A 19,949-nucleotide genomic window follows, 5' to 3' on the forward strand; every position below is an offset into this window, starting at 1 on the left:
TTTCAAGTGAGCATCTATATAGAATTCAAAAAATGGAGGCGAGACCAGATTTAGATTATTCTGTAGTTCAAAAGTCAAGCTGCTTACTAGTTGCATTTCCATTGAAAAAGCCACTGACATTACCAGAGAATACATAGTGCACTTTTAAAAGTCAAAGGAAATATATGAATCAGAAAAAAATGGCAGTGGATTATCATTTTTTTGTCATCCAGTTTTCTGAAAATCTCCACAGGTTTCACCCCACCCTGTTTGCTCATTATTGGTATTTTCCTTTATTATCACAATGTGTTTTCACTCCTGTGAAATTGGGCAAATTGAAAAAACAAAACAAAACAAAACAAAAAACCTGCCTCTCTCTTCCCTCTCTTGAAGTTGCAACTACCCTACCTCATTATACCTGAGCGGGAATCACAGAGAAAGTGCTCAATTCATCTATCACCTGGATTTCCACTATGAACTCTGCCGTCCTTTTTATTCTGGGGAAAATATTTTTTAGAATTCATCTCAGATATTGGATCATATTTCCTTTTGTTACTCATGTTAAATATTATTGTAAATTTGTGTTAAAAAAAGGTAAAGTTATGGTTATCTAAATTCAACCAACTCTAAGTTACATAAAAATCAATCAGAGCTAAATTGCGAAGATATTTAAACAAACATTGAAAATTTCACCAGACTTACAAGCTCATATCTTATTCCACAGGTAATTATCAAAATTCAAAAATTTTATATAAATATCAACATGGGCGATGAAATAAACTATTTCCTCCTCTACTAGGTAGACAAATAGTTTTCCCCCTAAAAAAGAGTTGGACGTAGTCCTTATACTGTTCCTTACTGGCAAAGACAATGTCTATTTAAAAAGAGAATCACTATCCTGTAGTTGGCCACTTCTAGTGTGACTGCTAAGAAACATTTTCCTTCTCAACAAGACTACTTAAAAGGAATGCGTTAGTCTAACAGGCCTTGATATCTCACCATGATTACAGAGAGCACTGATTCACACCCCACAGAAAAAGCCTTGAAGAATTCAGGCCTCCAACTCATGAGTTTGATAGGCTGTGTTTGCTTCTGTAAATACATGACGAATTAGATCTGTCAAGACTTTCATTCTGTAAGAGGAGCAATAGTACCACAACTTAACACTGGAGCTTAATAATGATCCTGGAAACTTCTACCTTCCTCCTTAAGCACAAGTAAGTGTTGAGCTAATAAAAATACAAGTCTCCAGCCTAGGCACTATGGTTAAACCCCATCGCTACAAAAAATTTGAAAATTAGCTGGGCATGGTGGTACCTGTAGTACCTGTACCAGGTGGACCTGTTAGTCCCAGCTTCTAGGGAAGCTGAGGTAGGAGGATGGCTTAAACCCAGGAGGTCGAGGCTACAGTGAGCCACGAGCATGTCACTGCACTCCAACCTGGTTGACAGAGCAAGACCCTGTCTCAAAAAAATAGAAACAAAAACAAGTCTCACTCCTCACTCCTCAGTTGTACATTGCCCCACCAGCGATACATTCCAGTTTCAATTGTGAACAGTTTATTCAAGATCTTTTCTCTTTGTTTCTTCCAGATTCCTAACTTCTGAATTTACTTTAATAACATTTACATTAAAAATTGGACTAAAATGCCCTACTTTAAACACAAAATGCATGTTCTTTTGCTTTCTTCTCCATAGCTGCTTGTTCCCTTATCTACATTGAATTGAATCAATTATCATTCCACTTTCCCAGTATGCTGATTCTCCAGTTATCACAGAGCTAACTTCTTCCTAGAGAAGATCCCAGTACTCATCACTTAGAAATGGCTTTAAAATCCAAAAAATACCTGATGTCCATCACACCCAAGGCTCTGTATTCCTTTATAAAAACATGATACATTATAAGTCCAATGTACCACACCAACAACCCATGAGCTATAACATGGGGCCACTGGCAGAGAATGCAGCAGAATCACTTTTATTAGGTTTTGCCTCAGCAGGAAGGAGCAAAGTGACCCCCAGATGCAAAACTAATGGGCAGTGAACAAAGAGGGTAAGACCGGGTTTTCCTTACAAATCAACAGGCTCTTGTTCCCTGGAATTGGTATCTGCCTCACATCTAACTGGCCAAAGTGTTATACCTGGCTGGGTTTAATTTGTTATTTATGTCAGCTTTGCATATTTGTAAGGTTCAAGGGTTTATTGCCCTGGCCTGACCTTGCCAAGTCAGAGTTAACATGTGGTTCTCTAGTAGCAGTTTCTTTCTAATAAACTTTACTTGAAAGAACATGTGTGATAGATTTTGCTCATGATTAAAAAGAACAGTTCTATGTTCATTGTTCCCCAATTTGGTTTTGAAGTTCTGTTGAAAGTCACCTCTGAACTTAAAAAACAAAATCCAAAATATTATTCTCTTTTAAATTTCATTGAAGACCTTTATTGTACTTTGTGTTTTAGAATGCTGCTTTATGACTGTTCTAAAAGATTAATGTGATCCTCTAAAACCAAGCTAAATAATATATTTCCAAATCGTTCATAAGATTTGGCACATAGTTTAATTTTGGTTATGAGAATTGGTAAAGTTCAGTAAGCAATCTCTAGTTTAGAAACAAGAAATTATTAGTGTGTGTGCATACACACATAAACATATACATATATACGCATATATATCCACATATATTCATACACACACATATATAACACAATATAATACAATACAGCAGAGTGAGTGTAGGATAGAAGATAGCAGGGTTAGTGAAAATCGTCCTTAATTTGCTTGCTTAGTTCCCTACCATTATTAATGTATAGAGGAAAGGTATGTTGAAGATAGAACATATCATTCGGATCCCATTTTTTTTTTTTTTTTGAGACAGAGTCTCACTCTGTCACCCAGGCTGGAGCACAGTGGCACAATCTTGGCTCACTGCAGCCTTTGCCTCCTGCGTTCAAGCAGTTCTCCTGCCTCAGCCTCCCAGGTAGCTTAGATTACGGGTGCACGCCATCACACCCAGCTAAGTTTTGTATTTTTAGTAGAGATGGGGTTTCACCATGTCGCCTAGGCTGGTCTTGAACTCCTGACCTCAAGTGATCCACCTGCCTCGGTCTCCCAAACTTCTGGGATTATGGGCATGAGCCACCATGCACGGCTGGATCCTTTACGGTAAGAGCCAACATCCATAACATTAGAAATTGGCTGCTGGAGGGGGACTCCCAAATCTAGGATGACCTGATTTGTCTGGGTTTATCCGGGAGTTTCTTAGTTGGAAAATTAGAAGTCTCATCTCTCAAGAACTCCCTCTGGTCCAGGCAAACTGAGATGATTAATTATTCTACAGTCCCCATATCTACCTGGCAAGGTTTCTGGCTCCATTTTCTTTTAGTTGATCCAGGGTATCTATTAAATGTAAACATTGTCTTCAAAAGCTAATGGACAGAAACATTCATCAAAATCTAAATAAATTCATTGGCCTGTTCATTGGAGTGAAAATGAATGGAACTTCAACTTAACCTGTTGAAGACAACAAGAACACTAATTGTCCCTTTTAGTTCATTTCAGGATGACAAAATCCGTTAACTCGGATAAAATGCATCTTAACTATATTAAACTCAATAGTTTTAAAAATTTTTATTCTTTTTTAATGCTTTTCTGCTCTGCTTTTGATTTTGAAACCCTGAATCTTCACGAAGTCCTGGAACAATAGCAGAAGTGTCATTGTTTTCCCATCAAAATCTAGGTAGTAGAGAGCAGGAACCCAATTTGTCTGGCCAATGAAAAGATATGAGTAGTTACAGCTTGTGGGGCTGCACTGTTGGTGAGCATTATTCTTCTCCAGGAAAAATAAATGAGAACCAACTCACAGCTTTATACACAGTTGTCCTCATACAGTCCTAACCTCAGATTACTCTGTCTTTTTGCTTACGTGTAGAGAAACTTTCCTATTTTATCTTATTATTTAAAAATAAAAATATGATTAAAACCATGATAGAATCTACAGTACAAAAATAGTCAAATTAGTTCAAAGTTGTGTGATCTGGGAATCAAGAAGAAAATATCACTTAGGAGATATTTAGGCGATACGTATCATAAAACACATATGAGATATATATATATGTATATATATATTTCCCTATTTATTTGCAACAACTGAACATAGGAAAGTGAGAGGTTGAACTGAGAAAGAAAATAATTATTTAAGTGGGTTTGTGTTTCAAAACCCCTAAAAAGTGTTGCAGGGGTATCTGAGGATTATTGTTTTTCTGAGATCTCTGTTTGATATGAGGACAGCTATGCCTTAACAGGGGAACAACTAGGTAAGGCAACCTCTCCACGTCTCTAGCCCTGCAACTTGTGCTCCTGTGGCCTCATCTCTCTTCTGCTCTGCTGTTGCTTGTTTCTGTAACTCCAGTGTAATGCAAATGTATTTCCTCAACAGAATCCTACACTTATAACTCTGTGTGTGTGTGAGAGTGTGTGTGCGCACACGCGTGGGGGTGTGTGTGTGTGTGTGTGTGTGTGTGTGTGAAGGAAGTGGGGCGAGCACAGTAGGGAGATGAAGAGCTAGATGTGAATTGGACCATAAGTGCATTATTGAGGGTTTATATCTTCCTTTGAAGTATACAGCATTAGCCACTGTCAGGGAGAAGATACCAAGCCAGACAGTAATTGCAATAATGGAACAGACAAATGGTCTATGTCCCCATTAAAGTCATCAACACCTCTAATTTTTGAAAGGGGCTTGTTTGAAATACAGTAATTGTGATTATGTTGTCCATAAAGGCTATGGGCGATCAGCAATTGTCAGCATGCCCAGTGCCTTTCCAACATCCTTCTGGACAGAGATAACTAAATCTGAACGCTAAAGCACAATTTATTTCTGAATAACCTTACAGAAAGGGTGTTTTATAAGGTTTAAAAATTTAATACAGCATCTAAGTAACACCTTTCCTTTGTAACACTTCATTTTTTCGGATTTTTTTTAAACTCTCTGCTTTCAAGTCCTCTAATATGCAGCATTTACTCGAAAACCAAACAGTTCTGGCATTCTCTCTTCCTCTCAATGCTCTGCCCAACCCTTTCATAATTATGCCCTTCTCTGTTTCCTTGATATTTCCCCTGGGCACTTCTGTCTTTCCTATAAAGTTCTCCTCTCTCTCCTCAGCTTGCCCTTCTTCTTCTGAGCCTTGTAATTGTGTTTCAACAAGGTCACACTCAGAAAACATTGACAACGTCATATCCACAGAATTCTGGATAGAGAAATCCTCAAAGTCCGAGAGAGAAAAAATAAGCTTTTTTTTTTGAACAAATCCTTAAAGCATTTTCTAAGACCCTAAGAACTTAATTCTGGTGGTAAATATTTTGCTCTGAAGGAAACAAAGACACAAGGAACACCAGTTTAATTTCAGAGGCCACTGGACATTTTGAACTGATTATCTTTAGAGAGGACCATGTGCCATGAAGTTCTTAGTTCATGCTGAAGAATGAAATTGTTTCCATCAAGAGGAGTTGTGTCACATAAATAATGTCAATTAATGGAATAAAAATAATTTGAAGTGAAATGTCATCAGCTTATACTGTTACCCTCCTTCTAAATAGCTAGCACTTAATCTAAGAATAACAGTTTAAACTACACACCATCTACTAGAAAACCTCATTATTAACAAGAATTTTTCATCCTGATTCTCTTGACCTATCGAAAGCCAAAACTCAACACGTTGCCATTTAATCTTTAACAAGGTCCTAGGTTATTGAAACCAGTATGAAATGAAATTTATGGGCTAACATTTAACTGTTATTCTCCACATCTTCCCAGGTTACTCTCCATTCTGGGGAACCATCTTTTATTAGCATGAGTAAATATATAAAAGCCCACTGCTAAAACACTTAACAGATCTTCTCTGTCAAGGCTGTGAACTGCAGTGTCCACTCCATTTGGAGGTCCCTGCTTCTTTTTTTCTTCCTTTGTTTAAAATATGCTGACCACACAGTGACCTCTCCTAACCTATCAGTCGAAAATTACAACCAGCCACACAAACAAGCAGACCGGGGTCAGAAGGAGCAGGATCTGCTAAAAGTTAGTAATCATACATTAATTCCCTGACATAATTAATCAAAATGAACCACTGTTATCTAGCAAGAAACCTTTAACCTATTACAAAGGGGTCAATTTGCGAACCACTTGAGCCTGGGAGTTTGGTACAAATAGCATACGCCCTTCATCCGGGATGCCCTAAGTAGGGAAAAATGCCTTTGAAGTCCCAAATCTACTAGATTTAGATATAATTTCATCAATCAAGTTAAAAGCCTGCCTCCCTCCAGAAGGATTTTGTGGAGCTCTGTCAACCAGCTTCGTTGAGTGGTGACTGAAAATCCATTTGTAAGGTATTTTTTTTGGACACGAGTCGACTAGAATAGGTCCGACCTGACAAAAGAGGCAAGAGTTTATCAAATTGAAGAGGAAGAAGGAAGATGTGTGGGGCAACTCATTTTCCCCTTGCAAGAAGAGTAGTAAATCGGATGTTTGTTATGCACATGAACTGGTATATGCTTCCATTTTCAAGATTAAACCTGTCAGGTGTTTAAAATCGATATTTACATGGTGCAGGCACACGGTAGGAAAAAAAACAGAAGAATTAAAAACGGTTTCACTGTAATTCAGGGGAATTTTTTTGTAGTTTTGCACATGTATAAATGGAGCATTGGCCTTCAGTCATATTGCAAGCACCCTCCCAGGATATGCGTAGGTGTTCATTTACAGAAAACAGATAAGCACAGTTTTGTTTGTATTCCTCTCACCATTAATTTCTAACATCCCCAGAGATTGAAGGTGTTGCCAAGGGCCCCAAAATACCTTCAGCTGAAATTGTTACATCACTAATGTGCTTAGAAACTTACATCTATCATATCATACTTTCTGAGTTGGAAGACATCAAAAACCAAAAAGGATATATTGTATTTTGAAAGGATTTATATGGAAATACACATGCCTTTTGATAGGATCAAACATATCACATATTTCAAAACTGATGATGGTCATCAATTTCAGAATTAATGTCTGGCAAAGCATTGACACTACTCTTACCATGGTTACCTGAGAAATTGATCCGGATAGGAAGGCCCTTGCAATTATTTATTTCAATCCTGGGCCATTTCAAACAGTTTTTCAGTGAATTGCTCTGTTTTCTTCCCACACATTCGACACATATTTCACTGAATTTGATCACTGCAGTGGGCCCAAGGGCACTTGCTGGGAGGTTCTTCAATATGGTGAGTACTGTCATATAGAGCTGTGGATAAGGCAACTTGAATGATGCATTTAATTCTTCCTAACCAGTAGATACTTGGAGGTATTGTATTATTCACCTTGCTATTTCAGTCTTGAATCCATTTTAGAGATGAAAAAATGGAGGCCCAGAGGGATTCAATACTTTAGTCAAGAACACACACACCCAGTCCAGGAGTGGTGGCTTATGCCTATAATCCCAGAACTTTGGAAGACAGAGGCAGGTGGATCACTTGAGGCCAGGAGTTTAAGACCAGCCTGGCCAACATGGCGAAATGTCTCTACTAAAAATACAAAAATTAGCCAGGTTTGGCGGTGTGAGGCACAAGATTCATTTGAACCTGGGAGGTGGAGGTTGCAGTGAGCCGAGATTGCACCATTGCACTCCAGCCAGGGCGACAGAGCAAGAGTGTCTCAAAAAAAAAAAAAAAGAAGAAGAAGAAGAAGAAGAACACACACCCAGTAGCACCTGAACAGGTATTCAGATAAAGGTCAGTTTGTCTTCATATCAAGTTCATTTTTTTTTTCAGAAAGCAACCTTCAAAAAACAACAAAAAACAAACACAAAAAAAAAGCTTCTGTGGAGATGAAACATAATGAGAATCTGCCAGAACAACCCCTCCATTTTTCTCAGTATAACTCACTATCCAGAACAAGAAAAAGAAAGTATCTTTCCTCAACCCCCACCTAGTAATTTGCTCAGCTGGAAACAGCAGCCCTTCAAATCCATTCTACCCTCTGAGCTCAAGCCCTCCTGGCCCTGTTTCTGTTCCTGAGACATGTCAAGTTTGTCTCCTCCTCAGGTCTCTTCCCCACTATGCACTCCCTTCCACCTGGAAGGCTCTTCCCCTCACTAGTTGCTTCACCTGGCCCCTCTACCACTTGCCGGTCTCAATTTAAGTGTCCCTTCCTCAGAAAGGCCTTCTCTGGCCTAGCTATCTGAAGCCATCCTTTCCTCCTACCCCCAGCCACAGCATAATCACCTCATTAGGCTTTGTCCCCAGCCTTCTTCACAATCCCAAGTGCACTGCTTGTTTCATTTATTTAACATATCTTTCCATCTCATCTCCCCCACCAAGTGGTGGGATCTTGTCTGTCTTATTGTGGTGTTCCAACTGCCTAGCACGGTGCCTGAGTGCAGGCGGGAATGAATGAATAGCTTCTGGCAAGGTCATGCTCTGACTTTGGAGGCTAATTCTTGATTCAGCTGTGGAAGGAGCAACTATGGCTCTGGGAGTTTCTGTAACTTGGGAATGGGCAGCAAAGAGACTAAATCACCTCTTTTGGCAAAGTTGTAAGGGATTTCAATCCATGGACTTCCTGTTCAGCATGAATATTAGGGATTTTTGCTCTCCTCCAAATGGATCTCTGAAGATGTTGGGACCATTTGTATAGTTTATTTCTCTTTAGCAGAAGGCCAGGTGTGTTCTATGAATTCAAACCTGTTTCAAGAGTACATGTAACAAAAAACACAGAGGTTGCCTCCTGGTGAACGGCCCCAACATGCCAGGATCAATTTTCAGGTCCCCTTAGCAACCCTCAAGAAACCGCTTGTTGTCACTCTGCAGATGAGGACATAGAGGCTCAGTGAGGAACAACAGTTCCTGAGAAGTAGCCTAACTCCAAATACCATGCACTCCTGCAACCCTGTGCCATCTGGTCATCACACAGAACAAGGAGACAAACAACACTAAATAACATATAAATGCTAGATGTAAATAAAAGACTTCGCAGCACACGCTCATGAGTTTCATCATTTAAAAATAACCAAATATGTTAAAGAGTCTGGCACCTCCCTCCCCCCTCTCTCTCTTGCTCTCTCTCTCTCTCTCTCTCTCTCTCTCTCTCTCTCTCTCTCTCCATGTGATGTGCCTGCTCCCCTTTGTGTTCCACCATGAGGGAAAGCTTCCTGAGGCCTCATCAGAAGCTGAGCAGGTAGATGCTGGTGCCATGCTTCTTCTACAGCCTGCAGAAACATGAGCCAAATAAATCCCTCTTCTTTACCAAAAGAAAAAAGAAAAAAGAAAAGAAAAAGAAAATAACCAAATAAAAAGCACTGATGATTTATTTTAGATAATAGTAGATCATATTTAGTAACTATCATTCACCCCAATAAAGAATACAGAATTACCCACTGTTAAGTTTGACTGGCTTGAAAAAGAAAAGAATACAGGCCAGGGTGCGGTGTCTCATGCCTGTAATCCCAGCACTTTGGGAGTCTGAGGTGGGCAGATCACCTGAGGTCAGGAGTTCAAGACCAACCTGGCCAACATGGTGAAAACCTGCCTCTACCAAAAATACAAAAAAAATTAGCTGGATGTGGTGGCGGGCGCCTATAATCCCAGCTGCTCAGGAGGCTGAGGCAGGAGAATGACTTCGGAGGTGGAGGTTGCAGTGAGCTGAGATCGTGTGATTGCACTCCAGCCTGGCTGACAACAGTGAAACTCTGTCAAGAAAAGAAAGGAAGGGAGCAGAAGGGAGGGGTGGGGGAGGGGGAGGAGAAGGGGAGGGTGAGGGAGGAGGGGAGGGGAGGGGAGGGGAGGGAGGGGAGAAAGAAACTGCATGCTCCATTTCAAAAGGACTGACTGACAGCCAAAAGTCATGTCGTCACTGTCCCATGGTGACCAGTCTTAGGATGCTAATGGTTTTGTAGGCAGAGTGCTTCTCCTTACACATCCCATGGGTCCCTCACTTTCTGTCTGTGAGTGTGCAACCAGGGGCTATGAACAGAGTGCCTTGAAGTCACCTACCGGGGTGACTAGCACGAGTGCATGAGAACCCTGACTCACAGAAGCACCTGGAAGCTCTTCTAAAACTACTACTTTAAGCACGAAGATGAGGAAAAACCATGGCCATCCTCTCACTTGAGACTCTAACATCACACCTGTTCCAGCGGCTCCTAACCTTCACATGCCCTCTCTCCCAGCCAGCTCCCCAGGAGCCCAGGTTTTAACTGGGCCTGGATTTCCTTCCCCAGTAGACAACGGTGGCAAGCCTCCCAAGCCTTCCCTTGACCTGGGAGGCTCCTCATGTGCTACTGGTCCCCACACATTTAAAGCTCAGTCCTGCCCGGGAGACTTGGAGGAATGTGATACCTGGGCCACCCTGCTTGTCTTTCAAACTGCAAGGCAACATTGTTGAGAAAATGTGTGGATGAAATACAATGCTCAGCGACCTGTGCCTCCACAGGGCTGTCCAAACAGCAGAATGATGCCAAACTGGCCCACGCTCACAGAGCCGGGTGACAAGAGAGGCAGTTGTGATCTTGTGAGCAGTCTGGGGATTCAGTCTTGTTCATGTCAGGTACTTCCCAAGAACGCAAGGCAGACGACATGATTTTATAAATTTGCAAAAGCTTCACACCTTGAGACAAGATCCCAATTGTACAGTGGATATGCAAGGAAAAAAAATCTGGAAAGAAACTCGAAAATTACTACTATTCTCAAGGAAGATACAAATCTAGGCCAAAAAGGCTACTTATTACAACCAGCTCATCGGAGCCCTTCTAAAAATTTCTCGTCACATGTTCACCCTTGACAAGGAGTAAGGGAATTATATTAAGTTAAATTTATATCTTCTATATTCTCCCACTGAAACACTTTATTTTATTTTTTAGTAACAATCTTGGGTATTTATTTTACAAAGTCATTAAAACCAAATGAAGGAAGCTTGCTGTTAACTTGTGAGAAGCTTTATATATGCTGTCGGAGAAGTTCTAGCCAGAAGAAATGTTTAGCACCTCACAGTGGGTCATGGCTTTAAAAATTATTAACATAAGTTGCCAATATAGTAAGTACACCAAAGAATAAATGCTTTCTGGAGACAGAGGTCAGGGGGACTTCAAAACAATTTCAAAACTGGCTCTTAAGGGGGTTTCCAGCAAGACAGTTCATCATCCCAAGAAAGACGGTGAGATACTGATAGGGGCTTTTGCTAGAACCAAAAGAATTTACGTTTAATTCCACCTCTCTTTCAACTGGCTGTTGGACTTTGAGATGGCTACAGGGCTCTCTAAGCCTGAGTTTTGCTATCTGTAAAATGGAGGCATTAATATTTACCTTTGAGGATTGAGAAAACTAGACGATATGTGTTGCACCCAACAAGTGGGGACTATTGTTTTATCCCTGAAAGACTTAGCCAGTGCAAATGCGGTGCAGTTTCATGTCTCCGAGTTGCACATTTCTCTGAATGGAATTCAACTTCTGACTCTCCTGGGCTACATCATATTGCTCTGATTGTTCAAAGATGAGGACTTTGGATTTAAAGCTAGGTTATAGAACACAAAGGGAATTCTTCCTAAGAGGAATCGACTTTGGTTATTAAAATACTCTTTTTTCTAGGGCAGCTTTACCTAGGCAAGATTATATGACCCCCTAGGGTGCCTCCAATGATCTCTGGAGATATTGGAAAATTCTCAAGTTATTCTGAAATAAAAATTATTTTAAAGTAAATTCACTTGGGTTTTAGAATTTGCATGTGCCCTATATGGGCATGCGTTTTCGGTTATGTGACAATGCTATGGAATGGAGAAAAAAATGGTGTGCCGAAGTTCCAAAAGATTGGTAATCCTTTTTACATATGGTTGTGAATGGCTCTCTTGGTTTCTCATTGTAAGAATTCCCACATTCTTACAACCCAGTAAGTCAAAGGTAAGGTCTGTTATGAGGCTAAAAACATCAGAAAAAAACCAGGGGCTTGTGCAGGTGTCTGTGCATCTACTTAAAATCTAGAAGTGTTGGTTTTTCTCACTAAGTAGTGGATAATCATCAGAGTGAGCCTCGCGTTGGCCTTTCACCAAACCAGTGTGCAGAGGAGGAAGCAAGAAGATCTCGTGTGCACAGCCCTTCCCTTTTCCTTCTTCCCCAGGGTCCTTCGCTCAAAGCATTCCTTGGTGTCCACCAACACACATGGGCCCCCAGCCCTACTTAGTGTCTAGTAGGATGACTGTTAGGATGACTGTTCAGGAAGCAACTTCCAGCTTCTCCCCAGGAATGCTTAGCCCTTCTTTCAGAACTCTGCCATTCACTGGCCCCAAATACTGCTAATTAAATCCAGGACAATTCAGAAAATCATGGAAATGCCTTCCAGAAATAAGAATGGGTTCTCCTCTTCACTCCAAAGATGTAAATTTCAAGCAATTATAATCTACCTTTAAAAATTAATGCAAAGCACGTAGATGTTGGCCAGGTTTTTAAAAACCTATAGATGCTGGTTAGGGAGAGAGAGAAGAAAAAAAAAAAAGAAAAGGAAAGGTAAGAAAAACAAAGAAATGGAAAATGACTTCCCTCCAAAGTCTCCTTTCATGATATAAGCAAATCAACAACTTCCATCAGTTGACATGATTTCCAAAATGAAAACATTACTGACTTGGTCACTTGAAAAATCCACTAAAGATCATTCTTTTTCAGACTGGTAAGAGCTAAGCAGATTTCCTATTTGAAATTGTGCTGAGAATGTTCTATTGTCAGTGCCAGAAGCTTCTTGTCCATATACTGGGTCCAACCAGTTTTAAACGTGGTGGGCGATACAGGGATTTTAGAATTATTATCATAAAAATCAAATGCAAAGCCAGATGGCCAGTGCAATGGAGAGCATTCGTTTTAGGGGTGATCATTTGTGGAATTTCACAGGAAAATCTATATGCGACACAAAAATATTATGTGTCACATTTCACCATCTACTGTGTTGAAAACACAAATCTATGTTTTCAAGGGAGGACAGAAGACAGGAGCGGTGAAATGTGACACACAATATTTTTGTATTTATGAAGAATGCTATAAATTGAGTCTCCTACAAAACACTGGTGATACTCAGTCAACCTGGGTTGCTGTTGATCTGAAAGTTTCCTTCATTTTATCTATCAAAGAACCCTTGCATTTTTCCTGCCACAACCAAGTCTCCTGGCTCTTCCTGGTTTGTGTCACAAGTTCAATTAGGTTATTTAGACACTTTGGACATTTAAATTCTTTGTTTGTGTATGTTTAAAATCAAGGAAAAATGTCATGGAAGGTTACCAAAATCCATGTAATTTACCCAAGAAATGAGTCTACTGGGTAAATACATATTGAGGCAATTTTTAAAGTCATATTTATTTACTCTACACACCTCAGTCTGTGGAATAAATAAATATTTGAGCTGTGCACTCTGTGTCTTAAAGCACCTCATGAAAATGTATGCTGACACTAGATGTGCAAGAAGAATCTCCTTTTAAGTTTTATATCTGAGCCATTTAACTTTGGGGGATAGAGAAAAGGAACAAATGGAACCATTTTATAGGGGTAATTACCACATTCTATACCCCCACCCACCCCCATCAAAGCATATTTAAGATGAGCAGCTGAAACTCACCCCAGTTTTTCCCTTTTATTTTCAAAGGCCATCGACTGCACCAAAATGTGTACTTTATAATTAATTCCTTTCAGTTATCTCCACACCTCCTTCTCCAGCAGGCATCAAATCATTTCAGTAGGGTCCGGTCTCAGAGTTGGATGTGTTTACACGGATGGGTCTTAAAATCTGTAGTTTCCCTTCTTTGTTCTTCTCTGGAGACCTGGGAGTAGTACCCTTCAGACATTTTATTGATCTTTCTTCCCCTTTGGCTCATACATGCTAATTGTACCTCTGTAGCAAAACAATCTTATTATCATGTTAATTAGTGGGAGGGCTGTTGAGGTTTTCCACTTCATTACCTACTAATTTCAAGATAAATGAATCCACAGGTTACTAAGTAAATAAGGTCACCTATCAAGCACTTGTAAACGTGTTTGTGAACAGGGAATGGGGAGGCAGAAGGAAACCTGTTTGGTTTTCAAATGAGTGGGCTGGTGGGGCTTAGCTTTCGGATGGAGTTGAGAGTCCCATCAGGGTGGCCCTGTCCCTGAACTCATTTGTAATGAAAAGGGAACGTTTGCCATCCACCTGGTTTCCCAGTGGGGCACTTCCTCGGGAGCTCTCAAAGGCCTCTTTGTAGCCGAATTCATTCTGTGCATTGGGCGCTCATGGCCACTTTTGTAGAAAAAGCCAGAAGTGAGGTTCACACTGGGCAGGAGAACTTTGAAGCGGGAGGCCGGTGGGTGGTGCGATCGGAAATCACACTCTTCGCAGCTTCCCAGACTTATTTCCATCTTGGGCCGGATTGTTCCTAGTTTCTCCGGATTAAAAAGCAGAAGAATTAGTTATGAGGGAAAATGAGAAAATCGAGCCTGCCAAAACCCAAGATTTTTAGCGGATTTCCTTAAGGCAGAAGGGGAAAACAATTGCTAGGAGAATCTTAGCTACAATGCCAAAAACTAAACAAAAGGATGAATGGGAATTATTTTCTTTACCCTTTTATCTGTCTTTAAAAACAGTCACAATATTCAAACAGGACTTCGTTTTGCTTTTTCATCTTCTCTTGATGCTGGTACCTTAAAAAAGAAATTAAAGGGGAAAAAAGTTGTATATTTTTATCCCCTAGGAGATTCTCATCTTGTGAGCTTTCTATTTTGTATGTGGAATCTCCAGGGGCATCATTGTCCAAAGATCTAACTGGCATCTGAAACACTGAATTCTCCCTTCTTTTTTTTTTTAATTAAGATAATAAATTGGTCTTAAATTATCCCTGAAATCAGACCAGTGTTGATTACAATGGGGCTCACGCTGTGACAGCTCAAGATGATGTTATTTTTATTCCTTTTCAACGAGATCTTAATCTCTCCCTGCGTGTAAACAAATTGTCACTGTAACCTTGTTCTCTAATCTCCCAGTCAAAGACCTTTAAAGCATTGGGAGATAACAGATCAGGCCAAGATTTCACCAGCTCTTCAGCTGGCGCGGATAGGCCACCTTTCACTCCCACCGGCTGAGTCTTTAAACACTGAAGGAGAATTAATAACTACATCTTACATGAAAAGCTCCACGGAAACCTTTGAAGGCCGTATATGTTGTATAGCTGGAGTCCCGAACATGCAAGCTGCTGGTCTGGATGAGAAATGCCTTTGCTACCAGGAGAAGGACCTGAGCCAGCGGTGGGAAGGGGACTGTTAGGGAAAAGGGACAAGAAGGAGAGACACAGAGAGGGACATTCAGAGACAGAGAGACAGAGAGAAACTGCCCTAGAAATAGAAAGAAGGGGAAAAGAAAATCAGAGAGACAGAGTCGAAGTGGAACAAGAATGAGGGTAAGAAAAGGGCTACCAAAAATGGTCCACCCAACAACTGGTAAAAGCAACCGGTGACAAACGCCACTTTGCTGGTATGAGAAAACATTCCAGAGAGTGGATCAGATTACCTTCCCAGCCATTTCAAAATATCCCTGTGTGACTTTCTATCGGAGAGTCCTCTTTCATGCCATGAAAGGGAAATTCTGCAAACATTCCCAAACGCTGGTGAGCAACAAGTTACTAATGAGCTACCTAGTGAACCCCAGTTCAGAGACCTCAGATACATGGACGTGTTTGTTTTAAAACCAGTTAAGAGGCATGTCTAGGGTGCGGCAGATCTTCAGCAATGATTCTGAGGGAATGGGCAGCTAGTAGTACCAGGCGCCTGGTGAGGAGGCTGCAAGATTCTCTTCCAAGTCCTCTCCCCAGTCCCCAGCAGAGCCCAGAACTGTCCGCCACTTTCAGACTCGCTCATCCATCTTTGGGTCTTCCCAATTTGACTTCTGTCCTGTGACTCCCCAACCCTTCCTTGGCTAATATCATTAAAAACAGGACAGCGAGCCTTAATGGGTGATTTTCTCTTCAATTAGTAGAGGACTTTGATCACCAAAAGTGGTGATTCAAAGTAGGAATAAGTTTAGCTCTGGGTTTGCCTTACCTCTAATGAATTTTTCTGGAAACTCCATGAATTTCCACGAGCCAGCATTTTTTAGTGGAAAGGTCATGGACTCTGGTTCAACAGTGTGACCTTTCACAATCTATAAAATGGGGAAAATAGTAACATCTTTCCCTTGGGCTACTGCAAAAATTAGATGAGTTAATGTAAATAAAATATAAAAGGCATTATCTGGTACATTAAAAAATAAAATAATGCTTTTCAATAAATAAATTAATCCTTTCAATAAATGTTAATTATCACTTCGTACAGAGCACACCAGAACCTAAATTTAAGTACCATTTGTCATAGAGCAAAATCGTTTGCTTTGAGGTACGAGTCAACTCCTTTGCCCTGGCAGAGAAATAGGTCACTTATGGGAGGAATTGCTTGGTGATTTTCAGGTGTGCTGTGAAAAATCATGCTGCACATATGAAATTTCTTCCTAGGTCAGGGCTGCTTCTTCCTCCAGTTCCTCCAGAGACTTTTTTTCTCTTTAAGAAACACTGGCTTTCATAATATTAGGTGATGTTTAAGTACCTGCTGGGTATTAGTCTGCTTAATTTTATTTTTCATTAAGTCAAAGGATTTGCACATAATTGGTTTCCCTCCGGGCTTCCATACCCACCTGTGGTTAGCAGCCACAACTGTGATATAATGTCCAGACAAAGGTGGCTTTGCTTTTTTTTCTTTCTTTTTTTTTTTTTAAGCAACTTTTGGAGGCTTACATCAGTTCATTGGTTTACTTCATTTTTTTGACAATATTTATTGCACTTTTTCTGAATATAAGAGTAATATGTTTATTAAAGAACGTTTGGCAAAAGACACACACATATATTTCCTACTATTTATTGAACACTTATTATTTGCAAGACCCTTGTAAAGCTTAGTGGCTTGCAGGCATATGCCACTTAATCTTCATAACAATTTTGTGATGGAAATACCTTACCCAAGACCACAGAATTGTAAAAGTGACAGAGTCCAGACTTAGAGTAGATCTGTCTTTCTCTAGAGGGTGTAATTTTTATCCCTACCTATCTGTGACAGGTAAGTAAACAGGCAAGGAGCAGGCAGTTATAGAAAGAGGAACATTAAAACCAACATATCCACTCTTTATCCACTGTGTAGGGAGGGGGGATGGTTTCCTTGTAAAGTGAAGTATATTGAGGCATTTGAGTCATACTGGTGGATAGGATATGTTTTATGTCAAATATGTGAATGTTAAAATCCTGGTCTCACCACTCATAAAGTGATAAGACTTTTATTGTAGTAAGAGGTTAGATAAGTTACTTATCCTCTTTGTTTGCTATTTCTTTATCTATAATAAGACATTTAATTCACAAAAAGTATAGAAAATATTTGGCATAATAACTAAAACATGTAAGCACTCATTACACATACACACACTGTACATATACACATATTGCAAAGTCAGTACAGCACTCTATATAGCATCCACTCCATAGCATACCACGTCAAACTCATTATTACATCCTGAATATTTCCCATTTCAGTTAAGATTGTTTTAATAGCAATATATTTTTCTTTCCTACAATTTCACCATAGTTAATTTAATTTAACCATTCTTTATTGTTACACATTTAATTAATTTCAAAGTTTTGCTGTCTTGAAGAATACTTCATTGTATCCCTCCCAAGGAATCATTGAGCATCTTCTGCTCTCTTAATATCTTAAAATTGTCCTAAAAATCACTGAGTAAAAATGTGCTTATTTTCTAGGCTTTCTATAAATACAACCAACTGGGCTTCTGAAAAAAATGCAAATTTGCACTTCAGTAAGGACATAACAAGCATTTTTTTTGCTTTGGCCAATAAAAAACTAAAAACGTAATTTAAAAAAATCTATTTGATAATTTAATTTCTTTTCCCAAAAAAGTATTTCTTCCATTGCCATTGTAAGTGAAAAATTTTTTGATGTTTCCTTTGGCTATCTCTATAAATTTTCTGAATTATCAAATTATGTCCTATGTTCTATTGGTTACTATTTTCTATTTGTTTATCTACTTAATTTTTAAGAACTCACTATAGATTATGATTTTCAAATTAAATTGTATAATATTTAATTTTCATATGTACATTATATAGATATTTTAATGTTAATGTAGTTTTTTATACTTTCTTAGTTTCCATTTATACTCAGAAAAGAACTAGAATATATTCATCCATATTTTCTCTTAATGGTTTCATTATTTCATTTTAATAGTGACTGCTAATTGAGTTTAGTTTTCCTTTTAAGGAAAATGTTGACCTAGGACCTATTACTACGTTCTTGGTGATGTATATACATTATCTCATTTAATTATAACCCTCACCCCCAGCCAAAAAAATTAAAACAGTAAGGCAGCTGTTAGCACTTTTCACAGATGAAGACCTGGACTTGCCCAGAGACCAAAAAGAGTGAAATGGATCAGTTATAGGTCAAATTTAGGTGTGTTTAGTTAAATTAAAATGAGAAGAAGATAGAGTTTTGAATCATAAAATTGACCAGTGTCATTATCACTAGAAAGTGATAGGTAGGAATAGGAGATGCATGGCTCAAGAAAAGATGGAAGAATGGATGAATGGATCAATGGATGGATGAATGAATTAATAGTCTAAAAAGGCAATTTATCAGCCTGACAGAAATGTCTTTCCCTGCTTGGTAGACCATTAGTCTGGTTTAGCCTACAGTCATTTCACAATCCTCCAGCCTCCAGATAAACTATATTATTATGGTACTACTCAGGAGATTCCTGGGGTCAAAGTGACTGGCATGGATGAGAGATTTCATACTTCCTACTTCCTAAGACCAACAATTCATCCTTTTATGCCATAGTCAGTCCACCAGTGAGCACTTTAATTGGATGTTTTGTAGAGGTTAAAAGCAAGGGCGTATGTGGCGGATTGTCAAAACCTGAATCTTAGCCTCCTAGCTTTGTAACTCTGGCCAAGTTACTTAACCTCTCTGTGCCTCAGTTTTATCACTTGTAAAATGGGGCTAATAACGCTTAAAGTCTCAGGTTTTTTGTTTTTCTTTTTTGCAGATCAATTAATTAATAAATGCAAACCCTTCTAAACAGAGCCTGGTGCATAATAAGTGAAAAATAAATGTTTTTAGCTGTTATTATTATTTTCTTCTATGCTAAAGTTAAATGTGATATGTAACAATAACTTTCATAAACAGTAGGAAAATTGCACAGGGATTTTCTTGGTTCATTAACATGACTCTACACGCTTCCAAAAAAAGTATGAGGACATAGAAATACCCCAGTGGTCTATAAATAACCTTGAGAATTCAGTCTTTTGGGACACAAGATGTTCTCAGGTTGTGTAAGTTATACTTAAACATTTTCTAAAAGAACTAGCCACAGTGCAGTTCACACAGGTCACGATTTTCGTACTTATCAAGATTGCTTCATAAATATTATCTCATTTTGAATCAGGAACAAGTTTTATAATGAATACATCTAAATAGGCTTTGGCAGTGCTTACATCGTGTTGGAAAGTCAAAACCTAAAAAACCAGATTATTCAACATCATTGTAAGCCTCTAAACCCAAATGTCTGACAGGATGCAAGTGTCTGTCTCTCTGTGTGTGTGTGTGTGTGTGTGTGCATCTGTGTGTGTGCAGTGTAGACACAATCTTAAATTGCCTAATGTTGGAAAAGCAGACAGTGACAACAGAGGCACAATGATAGATAGCCAACACATTTACACACCAGGAAACTTTATTTAGAGAGTCACTGAGATCATACATACGGAAATGTTCTTCTCTATCTTATCCCATAGAACCTCCACCATCCACTCTGCAGAGAGTGCTGCCAGTACAGGCAAAAAAGACACCCACACAAACAAAAAAGGCCTGAGATAACCACAGTTTGAAGTCTACAATAGAGA

At 39.3% G+C, this 19,949-nt stretch overlaps 1 long non-coding RNA gene across 1 annotated transcript, besides 2 other annotated features; it reads right to left on the reverse strand.

Annotated features, from left to right (window-relative positions):
- Window positions 1-9,305: 9,305 nt before the first annotated feature.
- Window positions 9,306-14,664, reverse strand: LOC124903582 (uncharacterized). Its single transcript, XR_007064799.1, has 2 exons — window positions 13,607-14,664; window positions 9,306-12,466 (listed from the first exon to the last, which is right to left on the reverse strand). It is a non-coding gene; the product is annotated as an uncharacterized LOC124903582 (long non-coding RNA).
- Window positions 13,632-14,559: an enhancer, noted in NCBI's record as "OCT4-NANOG hESC enhancer chr15:96453692-96454619 (GRCh37/hg19 assembly coordinates)". NCBI's record gives its function as "activates a minimal SCP1, AML or CMV promoter by ChIP-STARR-seq in naive H9 embryonic stem cells {active_cell/tissue: H9 hESC(naive)}" and the evidence as "EXISTENCE:reporter gene assay evidence [ECO:0000049][PMID:30033119]".
- Window positions 14,630-15,252: an enhancer, noted in NCBI's record as "NANOG hESC enhancer chr15:96454690-96455312 (GRCh37/hg19 assembly coordinates)". NCBI's record gives its function as "activates a minimal SCP1, AML or CMV promoter by ChIP-STARR-seq in naive H9 embryonic stem cells {active_cell/tissue: H9 hESC(naive)}" and the evidence as "EXISTENCE:reporter gene assay evidence [ECO:0000049][PMID:30033119]".

The sequence above is a fragment of the Homo sapiens genome, chromosome 15, assembly GCF_000001405.40.
Source record: "Homo sapiens chromosome 15, GRCh38.p14 Primary Assembly".
NCBI classification, from domain to species: domain Eukaryota; kingdom Metazoa; phylum Chordata; class Mammalia; order Primates; family Hominidae; genus Homo; species Homo sapiens.